Consider the following 16,884-nt stretch of genomic DNA (forward strand, 5'->3'; position numbering starts at 1 on the left):
TTTTTATTTCTTTTAGTTATCTTTGCTATATAGCTGTTTCCAGACATTTTCTCCTTAGAAATTAAAATTATTTTAATAGGCCAGTTTTATTTTTTGCATAGTGTTTTTCAAATGCATTTATCTAATTTCCTCCCATGGTTACATGCAGGTAAAATGTTTTTGGCAAAAATACTACAGAGGTGTTTTGTGTCCTTAGTCATCTACCTCTGTTTGTATACATTAAATTATACACTTTCACTTATCTATTATGCCTCAATAACACTGTGGATAGAGCTGACATGTGGGGTAGAACTTTGATGATATGTAAATAGGCTCTTTCACAAAATCTATGACTTAGTTATTTTATTATCCATTAATGATTCTTGCCTGATTCAGTTATTTTTATGGCATCAGTAAAATGATGATTGTCCACCATTCCTTCTATTGCATTAGTTGGCCTCTCCAGAATTACGTAGTGTTCTATTGTATTATTAAGGATGCAGTTTCTTTCCACTTTTCTGTTTTCCTTAGAGTATTGGCTTTGGTCTTAGATTAGTTCACTATGAGTCCACAAAGTGGTTACACAAACAAATATTGCATCCAAATAATGTCCAGAGGCAGAAAAAGCAATTGTTTCTTCTATGTGTCTCTTCTGTAGCAAGAACACCTTTTACAGAATTCTTCTACGAGTCTACTTTCTTGTTCTCTTGGCCAGAATTGGAGTACGTGTCTTATGATGACCAATAAGAGAGAGAGAAAAAAAGGGGGAAATCTTGATAGCTTTGGACAAAATAATGATCCACTGCCTGTGGCTACAGATGAGCCCAGGACTTGTAATTTTTATGTTTTTGTAGGAGAGATAACAGATATGAAAAATATTGGATTTCTATTAGGGAACTGGAAAATAGTGCTATAGGCCAAGGTTGTCAAGAAAGAGGACATGTGATCAATCTGTTGCACTGTTTGTGTCTCTCCATCCTATTTTAGTCTTTCAGAAAACATGGCCTGTCATGCTACAATGCATACACAAATTAGTAAAAAAAGGTCTTAAGCTCATTTCATATGCCATGGGGGAAAGAATGACACTTTCCTTTTATTTCCTCAGAAACATGGCTTCTGCTATCACGCAGTGTTCTACCAGTGAGCTCACCTGCTCGATCTGCACAGACTATTTGACAGACCCTGTCACCATTTGTTGTGGGCACAGATTTTGTAGTCCCTGTCTCTGCCTCTTGTGGGAAGATACACTAACTCCTAATTGCTGCCCTGTGTGCAGGGAAATATCACAGCAAATGTACTTCAAACGCATTATTTTTGCTGAGAAACAAGTTATTCCTACAAGAGAATCAGTCCCCTGCCAGTTATCAAGCTCTGCCATGCTGATCTGTAGGAGACACCAGGAAATCAAGAACCTCATCTGTGAAACTGATAGGAGCCTGCTGTGTTTTCTATGCTCTCAATCCCCAAGGCATGCTACTCACAAACACTATATGACAAGGGAGGCTGATGAATACTATAGGGTAAGTAAATGCTACTGATTGCACTTTGAAATGTGAAGAACCCTGAATCCTACAGGTAATACGGAAAGATATACTTATCATTATTGTTATTAATAATTTTATGCAATAAACAAACAGAATTGCTTATGACCATAAATTAGACACTGTTCTAGACACTAAGATAAAGCACTGAAGAAACCAAACATCCCTGCTCACCTGAAATTTAAATTCTCTTGGGCTGAGGGAGAAGAATGATGATAAAGTTGATGAGCATTAGGGTTCTGGTATTTCAGTGTAAGAAGCTCTATATTAATCACTAGTTTCCATGATAGTCATTGGCTAACACAGTCATGATTGCAATGAATCTATTATAGAAAATTCTAATAAATACTGGTCAGTATGCTCCAATAGTACTGTAGATAAGTTGAGGGCTAGCATTTTAAAATTAAATATAAAATAAGAGTTACTTCTGAAAATTGACAAGGTTGTATCAGTTTCAGTGCCAGACTTCTAAGATAATGGGTCTTGTTTTCTAAATTTGGGAATTCTACCTTTGGTTTCATTGACCTCTCGGACTTGACAATCAGTGCCCTTAAGAAAAGCCCCTGCATGTCTGCATTCTGCACTCTTTACTTGTCCCATGTCTGTACCTCTTTTGGTAGTATCTGAAATATACTATATTTTCTTTTCTAGTGCTCAGATTTATAGTTTTGTTTTTCAGAAGAAACTCCTGATTCAAATGAAGTCCATCTGGAAAAAAAAACAGAAAAATCAAAGAAATCTAAACAGAGAGACCAACATAATCGGAACATGGGAAGTAAGCAGTAAGCTCATTTCTCTCAGAACCAGTTTGGAATAGAAAATGTGACTTGTGGGAGAAGAACTTGAGTTAACCATGTGTCCCCTGAATAGGATGATCAGAAAAAGGACCTACATGTGTTTCTCTACAATATAACTTAATCTTTAGTGTGAGATTTCATGTTGAATCCAATATATAACTAAAAATATCCTGATTTTTCTGAATAAAGCAGTATCTACCAATAATACATCAGCAGTGACAAGAAATGTGCTAAAAGTGGCATGTAAGATCACTAGAATGAAGGTAAAAATGTGGTTCTACAGCAGGTTAGCAGACATGAAATGCTAAAAAAAAATAGCTTCTAGGTGAAAATCAATCTGATGCTAATGTGTTAGTAAAATTTAGAAATTTACCGATGATAATGTTGGAAGATTTTAGGAATAAGAAAGCTGAAAGTTAGAAAAGCGGTAAAATTATTTGGGCATGTGAGTAACTCCTCTTGATTAATTCATGAAAAAGAGTCAGGCAGTGGTGAGAGATATGGCTATAAATGTACTTATGGCCAGGTCTAGAATGTGAATGCTTAGGTAAGAATTTAGGATTATATAATCCATTCACAAATATGAATTAAGTACCTAAAACTGAATAAGTAAATTAAACAACATTTTTATTCTCAAAGATCTCAAGCACTTCTGAAGGGGACATATAAACAGGGACCAGTAGAGAATAATAATAATTGATATGTGATACTGTGAGAATGCCAAAGGGGAACAAAAAAATCATGTTGATCATTTCAGATGGATTTTCTGAGGAGTCCTGCATTCTCGTGAGGGCCTATCATGTGTTGCTTACTGCTGTAGCCCAACAAAATGATACAGAAGTGAACAAAAGAAGAAATAGATCGCTTACCCTAGGAGTCTATAATCTAGTGGGGGAATTCAATCTACAAATTAAAATGTAAACTTTATAATAAATAATGTTCGTGAAGTGCTTCAGGGAAAAATAAAGCAGAGAATGGATACAAAGAATCCAGGTTTGTAGAATCTATGCTGGCCAAGAAGAACCCATTTTCAGGGATAAGAAAGTGCAGAAGAAATGAATCAGTGGCTTTGTAAGAATGTATTTTTCTGTGGCAGGAAAAACAAGGTATGGTTAAAAGGAATAAGTAGAAAATGGTGTCAAATGCAGAAGGAAGGTGAAGACTTCTAGGACTAAAGCATAATATTTGGATTTAGAAAAAAGTTCTTGGTAAGTTGTAATGTTTGGTTCAGGAAAGAGTAGGGAATAGAGGTAAAGGGGTCTTTAATCACACACATGAGCACAGCAAGTTTGATCACATTTGATTAATTTAGCTTTAATAAGGATAGAAATGTTTTAGCAAGAGAAGCTAGATGAAGTAATTGGGACAAGAATATTTTAATTTTTTTTCCAAAGTAATTTGCAAAATTTGCACGTATTTAAAGGTGGTATGGAAAGAAGGGAAAAACTGTGAAAAAGTAATTGAGGTCCGGCGCGATGGCTCATGCCTGTAATCCCAGGACTTTGGGAGGCCGAGGTGGGCGGATCACGAGGTCAAGAGATTGAGACCATCTTGGCCAATGTGGTGAAACCCTGTCTCTACTAAAAATACAAAAATTAGCTGGGCATGGTGGTGTGCGCCTGTAGTCCCAGCTACTTAGGACGCAGGCTGAGGCAGGAGAATCACTTGAACCCGGGAGGCAGAGGTTGCAGTGAGCTGAGATCATGCCACTGCACTCCAGCCTGGGTGACAGAGGGAGACTCCGTCTCAAAAAAAAAAAAAAAAAAAAAAAGTAATTGAGTAGCCTGGCATGGCGGCATGTGTCTGAAGTCGCAGCTACTCAAGAGGCTGAGGAGGAAGGATCTCCTGAGCCCAGGAATTCAAGGCTGCAGTGAGCCATGATTGCACCACCATACTCCAGCCTGGGTGACAAACTGAGACCTTGTCTCAATAATAATAATAATAATAATAATAATAATAATAATAATAATAATAATATAATTGAGTGAAAGAGAGATGGGGGAAATAAAGACACAGTGACAGAAAGACAGAGACAGAAAATCAAAGACAAGCCAGGGAAAGAATGAGACAGAGAAATGGAGCCAGAAAGAGAGAGTAGGCAAACAATAGGGACAGAGACAGGAAGACAGACGCAGGCAGAAGGAAAGAATGAACATTGTAAGAAAGTAATCTAGAGAAGGGGTGGATAGAGATGTGTAGTCTTAGGTAATAGGCAAGCATAGCCAAACACTGGTAAAAGCACCGAGTGTTTTGGAAATGGAAGTAATTTAGAAAGATGCAGCAATGTCTTATGTTCTCTATTTTCCTGAGGAAGTAAATTGTTGTGAGTAGGAGTATTGAGAAAAATGGAATAAAATTTAGGTATAATGATGAAGAGGTTAGAACATTATATAAGACAACATAAATTTGATCTTAATTTATCTTTATTATCTTTATTTTTAAAATGTAAATATGGAGGTTTGAGGGAAAGTAGATGGAGTGATGCAGGGAAACGGAAGAGGAAGGGAAGGAGGAAGAAAGGAAGATTTATACTGTATTTGAAGTGGAAAAGCATTAAACTATATTTAGTAGAATAGCACAAAACATGAAACAAAGCAGAATAGCTGATAAGGAAAGAATAAAACCACTTAGACACATGATTTAATTAATCAACTATCACTACAGGTTTTTATAAATTTGCGGAGCATGATGATCAGTGCTGAATATCCTAAGGTGTGTCAATACCTCCGTGAAGAAGAGCAAAAGCACGTAGAGAGCCTGGCAAGAGAAGGCAGGATAATTTTTCAGCAACTCAAGAGAAGTCAAACTAGAATGGCTAAGATGGGTATACTCCTGAGAGAAATGTATGAGAAACTGAAGGAAATGAGCTGTAAAGCAGATGTGAACCTGCCTCAGGTAAAAACTGAAGGAGATCAGGGTGCTGAACACCACCCTGCTTGGGAATCGTATCTGCTAGAGTCTATATCCTTTTTGATCTATATTACTTTTCCGGTTCCAAATATTCAGATTCTGCCTTTCCTGGCCTTATGGTGGCAGGTTTCACTCCTCTGTAGACCCGGTCTCACTCTTTCTTGTCCCATAGAGGAGAAGGAAAACTATTTGGAAAAGTTCTAGTAACAAATTCAGGAAAATTCTCTTCTAAAATTATCTTACTACACCCACTGATTCTTAGTAGTTGCAACAGAGCAGCTCATGAATACATGATTCAGTTTTGTATAAGGATGTGTCAATATGTGAAAGTGTGAGATTTATGAAATTTATTTACTCTTTTAGTTTTGAAGTCCTAAATTTGGGCCCCACACATCCTTATAAGAACTTTGTGGGGACCTCTGTCAATCTTGTTGCAGATGTTTGTACAGTAGAATGTCTTCCCTTCCTCTTCCCATTTGTTCAACCTCAGTCCATCTGACTATGTTTCATCAAGAGTATAATTTTATTGACTACATGTAGACGTCAGACTGGGTTTCATATTTATAAAGAAAAAGAAAATGAAAAATGCCTTTATCCAAAGAAGGAAAGTGGAAGACGTTAAGTTTTCCAATTCAGTCCATATCCTCAGACTGCATGTCTAGGATATATTGAGAGAACCATGTTGTGCTGCAAACTAAGCAATCCTCTCTCTCTTTATAGGATTTGGGAGACGTAATGAAAAGGTAAGTTTGCCCCTCTATCCAAGTCCTGGTAATTGTGACAATAATCAGGCTGTTTCTGCTGGGATCGACCCACACTTTTAGTGAGGAATTTCTGTCTGTATTTATTCCTTTCTTATCAAAGGTCATCCAGGCTTTATATATTGACTACTTCAGATGAAAGTGAAGGATGGGAAGCAGTTTTAATTGCAAGGCCTAATGTAGAAGTTTCAATAAGGCAACTATTTTTCCTGCCTCTAATTTTCTACATCCTAATTATTTGAAGGTTATTCCAGGTTGTCAATGGGAAAGGCAAATAATCTCAGAGAGGCAGCTGATGGAAAGATGGTGAAAATAAGAGAAAGGGAACATCACCAAGAAGGAATGTAGTATAGAGCTGAGGCTCCATATGTAGCAGGTGGCATGTTCCAAAAATTTGACAGCTATCAGATTTCAGAAATTAAATGAGTATTTCTGCATGGCTCACCTAGGGAAGCTGTGAAGGTGAGAACTGATATAATTATGACTGGGATAACATACTTTACTGTCATAGAGGTATTAAAAGCAGCAGAGCACATTGTAAAATACAGTTACAATTGCAATATTTCTTAGTTCTTGAGTTCAAGTCACACTCTTCAACCTAATTGTGAGGATTCTGATCAAGCATCTTATTAGTGGATTGCTAATGATTCCTTTGGGACTGGTAATTAAAAGTAGGTATTTTTCTTTGCAGGAATGAGTTTCTGAGGCTGGCCATGCCTCAGCCTGTGAACCCACAGCTCAGTGCATGGACCATCACTGGGGTGTCAGAAAGGCTTAACTTCTTCAGAGGTAAGAGTGTGAACTGCACTAATGTTTCCAACGTAAGTATTTTTATATGGGTGACCTATATTCAGTTTAGTCTATATTCACTTCTCTGTCTCTATTATTATTTTCAGTGAACAAGCAGGTAAATATGGAAACCTTTATAACCAATTTTAAAACTGTTAATAAACTTTCAGGAAAAGCTAACTGAAGTCTGGAATAAATAAATAAGAAATACAGTGCGTAACATGATTATTTTAAGTGATTAAAAAAAAACACTCAAAAAAGACCTGGAGGAATGCTATAAATAAAGCATTCATTTTTCAGTGTAGCATATAAAACTGCATATTCATTCAAAGCATTTCAACTCTGGTTATATTTACACGATCCAATTCTTAGAAATATCTTAATGTTGTTATTCGAATGTTTACCTAAAGATTGAAGTTTTAAGGAATACATTTGAAAAACCACAGGATTCTCAAAAGCAGAAAAACAAGTTTGTAAACAATAGGTACAACCACAAAGCAGTCTGAAAGAAAATCCCTTCACTGTGTAGAGGGCTATGCAGACGAATGGAAATGGAGGGTGAGTCTGGCATATAGAAGAGAGGCAGCCATGGGATGAGATGAAGAGAATTCTGATTTAATGGTGTCCAAACCAGAAATTCTGGGAGAGAAACCACCTTTTTAAAAAGGCACATATAGATTTTCAGTTTATTTCACTTTTGCTTGCTTAAGTTGTGAAGCCCTCATTACTTCTTGGCCTTTTGGCTAAGATCAAGTGTGAAGCCCTCCCATCTTAGGCAAAGTGGTATTGTTTAGGACTAATAATGATAACAGTGTCATAGCTTAAGTATAATTAATAATATTTTTATTATTTTTAGTATGTTTTTTTATTTTGCGAAAATTGGTTAATAAGGAGGCTTAAATAAAGGCCCATTTTGATGTTTTCTTGGCATCTTATGAATAAGCTGGCAAATTTTTAGTAGTCTAGTAAAAATTAAATCAGAGCTTGACATCCTACATCTCTGTTTTCTCTAAATTTTCTTTCATCTTAGTTGCTTGATTAAAGATTCATTTGCCCTGCAAATGGACAAGAAGCTGTTGCTAAACTGTCTCCATAATTACTCTGATATACTCTGTATGCCACTCGTGATAGAGTGGTATGCCGGACCCAGTTAGTACTGACTCATGAGAGCAAATTGTTAAATGTTTTGAAATTTTTTGACTGATTATTAAATTGTTGGTAGCTTGAAACTGGCCTTAGTGAGGTGGAAATATTCCTAATAAACAAAACCAGTTGCTTTTGTTTGTTTGTTTTCAGGGATTGGTTGTTAAGCATTTGCCAGACTGCCTCTGCACCTGTACCTCCAAACTTTTAAACTGTTTTTTTGCATTCACTGTTTTCTTTTGCCATAGTGTATATCACCTTGGATCGTAAGATATGCAGTAATCACAAGCTTCTGTTCGAAGACCTAAGGCATTTGCAGTGCAGCCTTGATGATACAGACATGTCCTGTAATCCAACAAGTACACAGTATACTTCTTCATGGGGAGCTCAGATCCTCAGCTCTGGCAAACATTACTGGGAGGTGGATGTGAAAGACTCTTGTAATTGGGTTATAGGACTTTGCAGAGAAGCCTGGACAAAGAGGAATGACATGCGACTTGACTCTGAGGGTATCTTTCTACTCCTGTGTCTCAAAGTGGATGACCATTTCAGTCTCTTCTCTACCTCCCCACTGTTACCTCACTATATTCCAAGGCCCCAAGGCTGGCTAGGGGTGTTCCTGGATTATGAATGTGGGATAGTGAGCTTTGTTAATGTTGCCCAAAGTTCCCTCATTTGTAGTTTCCTCTCACGCATCTTCTATTTTCCTCTCAGACCTTTCATTTGCCACGGATCTAAATAATCAGGGACAGGTCACAAACCTGACCAAGGCCTTGGGAATTCTAATAGCAGAGGAGGCTCCTATTCTGGTTACTTTCTTAATGGGGAAAATCAGTCATATCTCATTACCTTTTACTTCATTTTACCTCCTGGATATATATTTATCGTATCATTTTTTAAAGTGTTGATAATGAACATTTGTCATTTCTATTTTATTTGAATAGATGTAACGTCTCTTATTATATTGTATAGGATGCATGTTCTTTTAACTTGTTATCAAAGCGTACTAGAGGTGAAAGAATACATGAGCATGAAAACCCAGCTAACTGAGTCAAATTAAAGCACAGACAAGTTGCCTTCCAGATAGCCCTTATTTAAAACTCAGTGTCAGCCTAAAATTCTCTATTCCCTGCCTTCATCTGGATAAACCTTTCCCTTCACCAGTTCCCACCTTTCTGAACTAGACGAGGTCTCAGATGTCAAGAATGGCTCATACATTTCCTCTATAAAACTCCTAACAGAACTTGGGTCTTTTTTTCAAGTTTGTAAATTACAAAAAGGGAATGCCAGTGATAGTTCTTCTCATTCATTATAGGAATAAGAAACAGTCTGATGATATGAGAGATATTCAAGAAATATGTAAATAATTAAATGAATAAACATGTAAAAATTATTAAAATCAAAAGCTATAGACCCAACAAAAATATGCTACAGTATAGCCATAATTAGCAAGACAGAACAGGCTGAGAAATATCATTACATAAAGGATACATAGATATGGTACCATGGTACTTAAGCCTTCTTGTTCAATTGAAACTTTATCATTTTGTAATGCTCTTCTTAATTGTTTTTGGTTTAAAGTCTTTTTTATCTTATGTAAGAATAGATGCTCCTGCATTTTTTTGTTTTTATTTGCATGGTAGATCTTTCTCCATCCTTTACTTTGAGCCTGTGGATGTCATTATATGTGAGATGGATCTCTCAAGACCAAATACACTTGGGTCTTGTCTTCTTATTCGGTTTGCCACTCTGTGCCTTTTAATTGTGGAATTTAGATCATTTACATTTAGGATTTGTATTGATATGTGAGATTTTGATCCTGTCATCATGCTGTCAGCTGGTTGTTTTGTAGAGTTGATTGTATAGTTGCTTTATAGTGTCTGTTAGCTATATGGTTTACTCAATATTTTGGTCTCTTTCAGCAGGAATGGAGCTTTCCGGTTGCATCTGTTTGGCCATCTTCCATTCTTTTTTAGCTGAGTGGTTTTTCATACCTTGTATACACCACGTTTTATTTATCCAAACACCAGATGATGTGTATCTTAATTGTTCCCAATTTTAGCAACTGTGATTTATATTTCTGTTCAAATTAACCCACATATCTTTCATTTATTGTGGGTAGTTACTTGGGGTGAAAGTACTGAATTATTTAGTGGATTTTAATCATTTAAGAACCTGTCAAAATACTTCTTTAAAAAGTGACTGTACCATTTTACATTGCCACCAGCATCTTGGTAAGAGTTCTAATTCCTCTACATCCTCACTGACATTTAGTATTTTCAACCTTTATTACATAAGCTTTTCTATTTTTTAGTGTATAGTAATAGCTTATTGTGGGTTAATTTGCTTATATATTACTAGTGATTAATGATGTTGAACTTTTTTTTTTTTTGAGGGAGGATCTCTCTCTGTCAACCAGGCTGGAGTGCAGTGGCAAGACCATAGCTCACTGTAACCTCAAACTCCTGGGCTCAAGGTATCCTCCCACCTCAGCCTTCCAAGTAGCTGGGACTACAGGCACACATCACTGCCCAGCTAATTTTTAAAATTGTCTGCGGAGATGTGGTCTCTCTATGTTGCCCAGGCTGATCTTGAACTACTGACCCCAAGTTATCCTCCTGTATTGGCCTCCCAAAGTGCTGTATTTATAGACATGAGCCACTGCACCTGGCCTTGAGCATCTTTTACTATCATTAGTTTCCAGCCAAGTATCTTCTTTAGTGAATCATCTGCTCATTGTACAATGATTTCATTGGATAGTCTGTCTACTTGATGAGTTGTAAGAGTTCTTTTTGATACAAATCCTTTATCACATATACGTTTTGCAAATATAATTTCTGCCAGTCTATGGCTTATATTTTAATTTTGTTGTCTCCTTGGAAGAACAACATTTTTAATTTTAATAAATCCAGTTTGTCATTTTTTAATGTTTCTTTTTTTGATGCCACGTGTTAAGAAATACTTGTCTAACACAAGGTCATTAAATTTTTTTATATGACTACTTCTAGAAGTTTTATAATTTCAGCTTACATTTAGGTAGGTCAGTAATCCATTTTGAGTTAATTTTTATGTACAGTGTAATGTGGGTTTGAAGTTCATATTTTTTGCCCCTAAATTCCAAAAATTTAAACACTATTTGTGGAAAAGATTATCCTTGAATCTTTTGAATGATCTTACCACCTTTGTCAAAAATCAATTGACCATATATGTGTTATCTACTTCTGGACTCTCATTCTGTTGCATTGTTGTAGATATTTATTTATCTCACCATACACTAATATACTTTCTTGATCCCTACATACTTATAGCACATTTGGATACAGATAATGTAAATCTCATTTTATTCTTTTTTGAAAAGTACTTTGGCAATTTTATAACTTTTATATTCCTCAGTACTTTCAACAACTTTATTGAGACATAATCTGTATACCATAAAATTCTCCCATGTAACATTCTCCCATTTGTAACTTTCAATGAATTTTAGTATATTTATTGTGTTCCTCAACTGTCACCATAATTTAGTTTTTGAACACTATCATTACTCCAAAAGGATGCCTTGTGCTGGTTTACAATTAATTTCACCATCTACCCTAGTACCAAGAAATCAATTACCTCTCTCTAATGTTCTGCCTCTGAATGTTCCATATATATGGAATTATACAATATGTAGTTTTTAGTGTGTCTTTTAACTTGGCATAATATTTCCAATATTTATCCATATTGTAATATAAATCAGTATTTCATTATTTATTATTTTTCTGATTAGCATTTCAATGTATGAATAGTTCACATTTTGATATTCATTAAAGAGTTGATCAAGATTTGGATTGTTTTACCTTTTTAGCTATTATAAATAATGCTATCATGTATATATGAGTTTAAGTCTTTGTATAAAAATATTTTTATTTCTTTTAGGTAGATACTTAGGAAAGGGATTCCTGGATTTTCTGGTACATTTATGTTTATTTATTTATTTTTAAGAAAACAAACTATTTTTCAAAGTGGCTGTATTATTTTACATGCTTACCTAGAATGCATTAAAATTCCCATTTTTCCATAACCTTAACAACAAATACTATTGTCTATGTTTTTTATTGTAGCTGCTGTATTGAGCTTATAGTGGCATGTAATTGTGGTTTTAATTAAAATAATCTCAATGACTATGATGTTGAGTATCTTTTTTGTACTTATTAGTTATATTAGAGAAGTTCAATTCATGCACCATTTATAAAATAAATGTGAAAGGTCTTAACTTACCTATTAAAAGATAAAAAATATTTTTATAAGCTCAAATATAATTCCCAGCTATGTCCTGTATATAAAAAAAGACACCTAAAGCAAAATAATTCAGAAAGACTGCAAGTAAAGAGAAGGACAAAATTATGCTAGAAAGATGGAGACATTAAGAAAGAAGGATCTGAGAATCTGATAAGAAAGTCAGTATAATTTAAATCAACAACTTTCAATGTGACAACTTAATGCTATCAAAATTTGCAATGAAAAATTAAAACTTATAAATAGCTATGTACCAAATGTACAGGAACCAAAATTGTAAAGTTAAAAGTTAAAATAGATGCTAGAAAACCTAGGTAGAAACATACTCAATATAGAAAATATTTATATAGGACTTTTAGTATCAAATAGATGAGGAAGCCATATATATATATATGGAATCTTTATATACATACATATATATATACACACACACACATAAACACACATATATATTATATAAAAGACTTTAAGATCATAATATAGATCTTGTGTGTATTTTAACACTGTGGAATTTACTACTATTTTCCTTTTGATTTAATTTATGATTATTTGGTTTACAGAATATTCTATATTATTAAAAAAATTGTATTTTCTATGATCAGGCTAAATAATTACACAAACATATACACAGATAGAAGAAACAGTTCTGATTAAGCCTCTGTTATAGGCAGACACTGTATCTCTGGGACTTGTAAATGGGACTTTCTCAGTGATCTTGCTCTGCCTTCGGTTCTAGGTCTTAATCTAACATGTATTTATGCTATTTCCCACCTTTTAATTTCTTGTTCCTGTCTATGAGCTGGAATAAATTTTTACCAGTACCTTAAGGGAAGCTATGTTTCTCAATCTTCCTGCAGTGGTTTAGACTTCTGTTACATTGCGGAGATAGGGAAGACGAGACAGGGAAGGTCCAGGTCTTTGTGTGTGACATAATCTTTAGATACATTGAAAGAGGTAAAGAAAAAAGTGGGGTAAAAGAAGAAAAATCTTTAGATAGAATAGAACTTGTCTGTTGTTAATATTTAATATTATTCCATATTAAATATTCTTTAAGAATAAGTTTTGTCCAGATTCATTTCTTAAAGTGATGTTTGATATTCTTTCATTTTGTTGCATGTAGTGAGAGTTCATTATTTTTCTTTGCTTCATAAAATTTATTTGCATGAATATATCACAACTTATTTAGGCATTCTACTGGAGATAAACTTCTTAACTTAAATTTTGGTATACTATGAACAGTAATGGTATGAAGAATGTTGTACTGTTGTATACATATTTTAATTAATATATGAATGCAGCCTGTAATTCCACTACTTTGGAAGGCCGAGGCGGGCAGATTGCTTGAGCCCAGGGATTTGAGACCAGCTTGGGCAACATAGTGGAACCCCATTTCTACAAATAAAAAAGAGAATGTATTTATGTAGGATGTATATTTAGGAGTGGATTAGTGGGTCATAAGGAATACTTTATGTAGATTTCCCAAAATGTTTTCAAAGTGGTTGTATAAATTTACGTTCCCCCGTGTATGACTGGAATTTCATTCGTTCTGCATCTTTGTCAACACATAGTAATAAATCTCTCGGTAAATTCTGGTCGCTCTTCTGGGCAATTAGTGGTTCATCTTGTGATTTTAATTTGCCTTAATCTAATGATTAATAAGCACTTTTTCACATAGAATAGCATTATGCTATGCATCATGCGTGATGATTTTCATAAAATGAATAAATAATATATAAAAGCACATTTTGAAAAGTATAAATAGGCCAGGTGCAGTGGCTCACACCTGTAATCCCAGCACTTTGGGAGGCCGAGGCAGGCAGATCACTTGAGGCCAGTAGTTCGAGACCAGCCTGGCCAACATGATGAAACCCTGTCTCTACTAAAAATACAAAAAGAAATTAGCCAGGCATGGTGGTGCTCACCTGTAATCCCAGCTACTGGGGAGGCTGAGGCCTGATAATCACTTGAATCCAGAAGGCAGAGGTTCCAGTGAGCTGAGATTGAGCAACTGCACTCCAGCCTCCAACAGAGCAGGACTCTGTTTCAATAAAATAAAATAAAAATGTAAGATGTCCAAATATGTCCAATAGTATAGTAAATGCGCTTTCATTAAATTAGAAGGAACTTAATCAGATATAACCCATGCATCTTATTTAAGAAGACACACACACTAGAAGGGCTCCTTCAGGTACTTCTGTTACTCCATATATAGATAATTTCCTGATTTGTTTCTGGTCAGAAATGACTACAGTAAAAGACAAGCCTGATAAAGAGAAGGAGTGCTATATAAAAGGGAACTGAACAATATTAACAAAGTTCACAGTTCCCTTTCCATTAACTAGAAATTCTTTTGACTGAAAGACCATGGCACATATTGAAATAAAAGCGAGGAAGTGGTAAATAGATTGTAGTGAAAGTTCTCTTTAACAATCTAAGGAGAGAATCTCTCCATGTCATTTATCTCATTATCCCTATTCTTTCCTTTCCAGTAATATTACAGACACCAAAAGCCCAATTTCAAGAATCTCTCATCTCCAAGTAAAGTCTGCCAAAAGTGAGAGTCTGAGTTCTCATTCAAGAAAACACTTAGATCTTGGAGTTGTACATAGTAGATCTTGAGGATCACGTCCAACACTCATGCTTCTCAAATCTCCAAGTAGGAGGATATGGCTATTAGCTTTGTCAGGATACAGAGTAATATTCATTGCAAAAAGAAAAAAGATACATGCATACGTATACATACGTGAATAATGGGATCTTATCTCCCCAGAAAAGTGTATAAAGTGTATTTCTCCCCAAGATATTATATAACTGAGCAATATGAGGTCAAGAGGCCAATGACAATTCTGTTTAAACTGTTTAATAAAGTAGAGGATTACTAATACATCTGCAGAACAAACAAATCTCTAACCACAGACATTAACCATTTTCTGAAAATTCAAATATATATAAAAATCAAATATAAGACTAATATATTTGAGTTCAACTTTCATAACAAAATGCCCTATAAATTATCTGTCATTAACTCCTTTCAGCTATCAGAGATGGCTGGAAACATTTGTTAGTTCTAAATAATAATTTCCAGGAAAACATTTCTTAGTTCTAAATAACAACATCATTTGCCAAGGATGTGAGAATTTGCCATTTATTCAAGTTCTTCCCTAGAAAACAAAAGGAAGTCTACACATGTTATTTTTCGAAGTGAATATATATATATAAACATTTTAGAAGTGTTATTTATAAATAATTTTCTTAAAATTCTAGTCTGTCTGATTCTCTGCATTCACACTGGGCTGCCCTGAATTTTCTGATTTAACATTAGCTCTTCATACTGTAAGTTAAATTTTTTTTGCTTCCTTACTTAGTTTTTATTTTAGTTTTTTAAAAACAATTTTAATATTTATTCAAATTTTATATCATATGAATAATATATGCCATTGTAAAAATAATATAAAGAACAGCACACCAGTACAACAGACAACCCCAAAAATCTACTCTTAGCAAATAAAAATTAAATATACTGAATAAATGTACAATTTTATATATAACATTGAATAATTTACCTGAACTCTGAACATTGCACCATTTATTCCTTTTTTCCCTTTGTCATTCTGTTTGCCTATTATGTAAGTCACCAATTGTGAGCCTGGATCTATTTAAGTTTCATACTGATTCATTCTGCATCTTGCCAATATGATTACAAGGATGTATGCAATTATAAAAAGTCTGTACGGTCAAAATGATGTAATAATTTCTGAAAATAAATTCAATAATTAAAGTAAAAAGATTATCCATATGATTTCACACACAAAAAATACTAGATTATGAGCGTATTGCTAATGGGCTGCCCCTTACATAGAAAGCAGTTAAGCTTTTTAATCAGTCTATAAATCAACCCTGCTCTGAGCTCTGAGTTCACAGCCTAGGGCACTTGCAGCTATACTGCCTCACTTTTATAAGGAAAAATTTGCAGTTAACATTCATATAGCTACAAAAAAAAATCACTAGTATTATGTATTTAAGATGCTTCAACAAAATCTTATTTTATTCCATAATTTTAAAACTACAATATCATCACTTTGTTTTTCCCAGATTAATTCTTATTTGTGGCTCCTAAATTTTCAAATCAAATGAAAATTCTCAGTCAGAATTAAGTCTATTCTTTACTTCTAATAACTAGTAATTTTTAAAGACCCTGACTCTCTTATGTCTTGAGAATATTCAGTAATAAAATGCTAGTATACAGTTTTTACCAGACTCCATTGCAATGCTCCCTGTGTGGAACAATGGAATTTTTTCAAGGCTAGTAGTTTGTGTGTTTGTTTGCCAAAGTGGAGGCTGTGAGATTGGTTTATAGAGCTGCCCTTGGGACCACATTGTTCTCACACGTGTAGGGTCTCTTTCATCTATTCTAGCTGTCAATTGTAACATACAGGAGTAACTCACTAGCTTTTTCACTCCTGGGAGACTCCTTCTCTCCTTTTCTATTCTGGCATCCACCATTCCTGCATTCACTAAAGTAATTGCCTCTGTTACACTTAAAAAAACTTAGCACTTTCACATATGCATAGGATTTTTAGAACTAAAAAATTAACCTGGAACAGATTATTAGGATCCTGTTTTTTTTTCTTTTGCAACTTTTAAACCATGCCAAATAAAATTACTGAACACCAGAAACATCTCTGTATC

The 16,884-nt window shown here is 34.6% G+C and overlaps 1 protein-coding gene across 2 annotated transcripts; it reads left to right on the forward strand.

Moving 5' to 3' along the window:
- The first annotated feature begins 1,088 nt into the window (after nt 1-1,088).
- TRIM77 (tripartite motif containing 77) lies at nt 1,089-8,662 on the forward strand. Of its 2 annotated transcripts, NM_001146162.1 has the most exons (6): nt 1,089-1,499; nt 2,200-2,295; nt 4,982-5,212; nt 5,948-5,970; nt 6,680-6,777; nt 8,169-8,662. In NM_001146162.1, the coding sequence occupies exons 1-6, from the start codon at nt 1,089-1,091 to the stop codon at nt 8,660-8,662; spliced, it is 1,353 nt and encodes a 450-aa protein (NP_001139634.1). The 2 variants fall into 2 exon arrangements, with proteins under 2 accessions (NP_001139634.1, NP_001258871.1); NM_001271942.1 differs by lacking the exon at nt 4,982-5,212.
- The last annotated feature ends 8,222 nt before the right edge of the window (nt 8,663-16,884 follow it).

The sequence above is a fragment of the Homo sapiens genome, chromosome 11 (assembly GCF_000001405.40).
Source record: "Homo sapiens chromosome 11, GRCh38.p14 Primary Assembly".
NCBI classification, from domain to species: Eukaryota; Metazoa; Chordata; class Mammalia; order Primates; family Hominidae; genus Homo; species Homo sapiens.

Coding starts and splice junctions, on each gene's coding strand:
- TRIM77 (NM_001146162.1), top strand. CDS start 1,089: ATGGCTTCTGCTATCACGCAGTGTTCTACCAGTGAGCTCACCTGCTCG. Junction 1,500..2,199: donor AGGCTGATGAATACTATAGG/GTAAGTAAATGC, acceptor TTTGTTTTTCAG/AAGAAACTCCTGATTCAAAT. Junction 5,213..5,947: donor CAGATGTGAACCTGCCTCAG/GTAAAAACTGAA, acceptor CTCTCTTTATAG/GATTTGGGAGACGTAATGAA.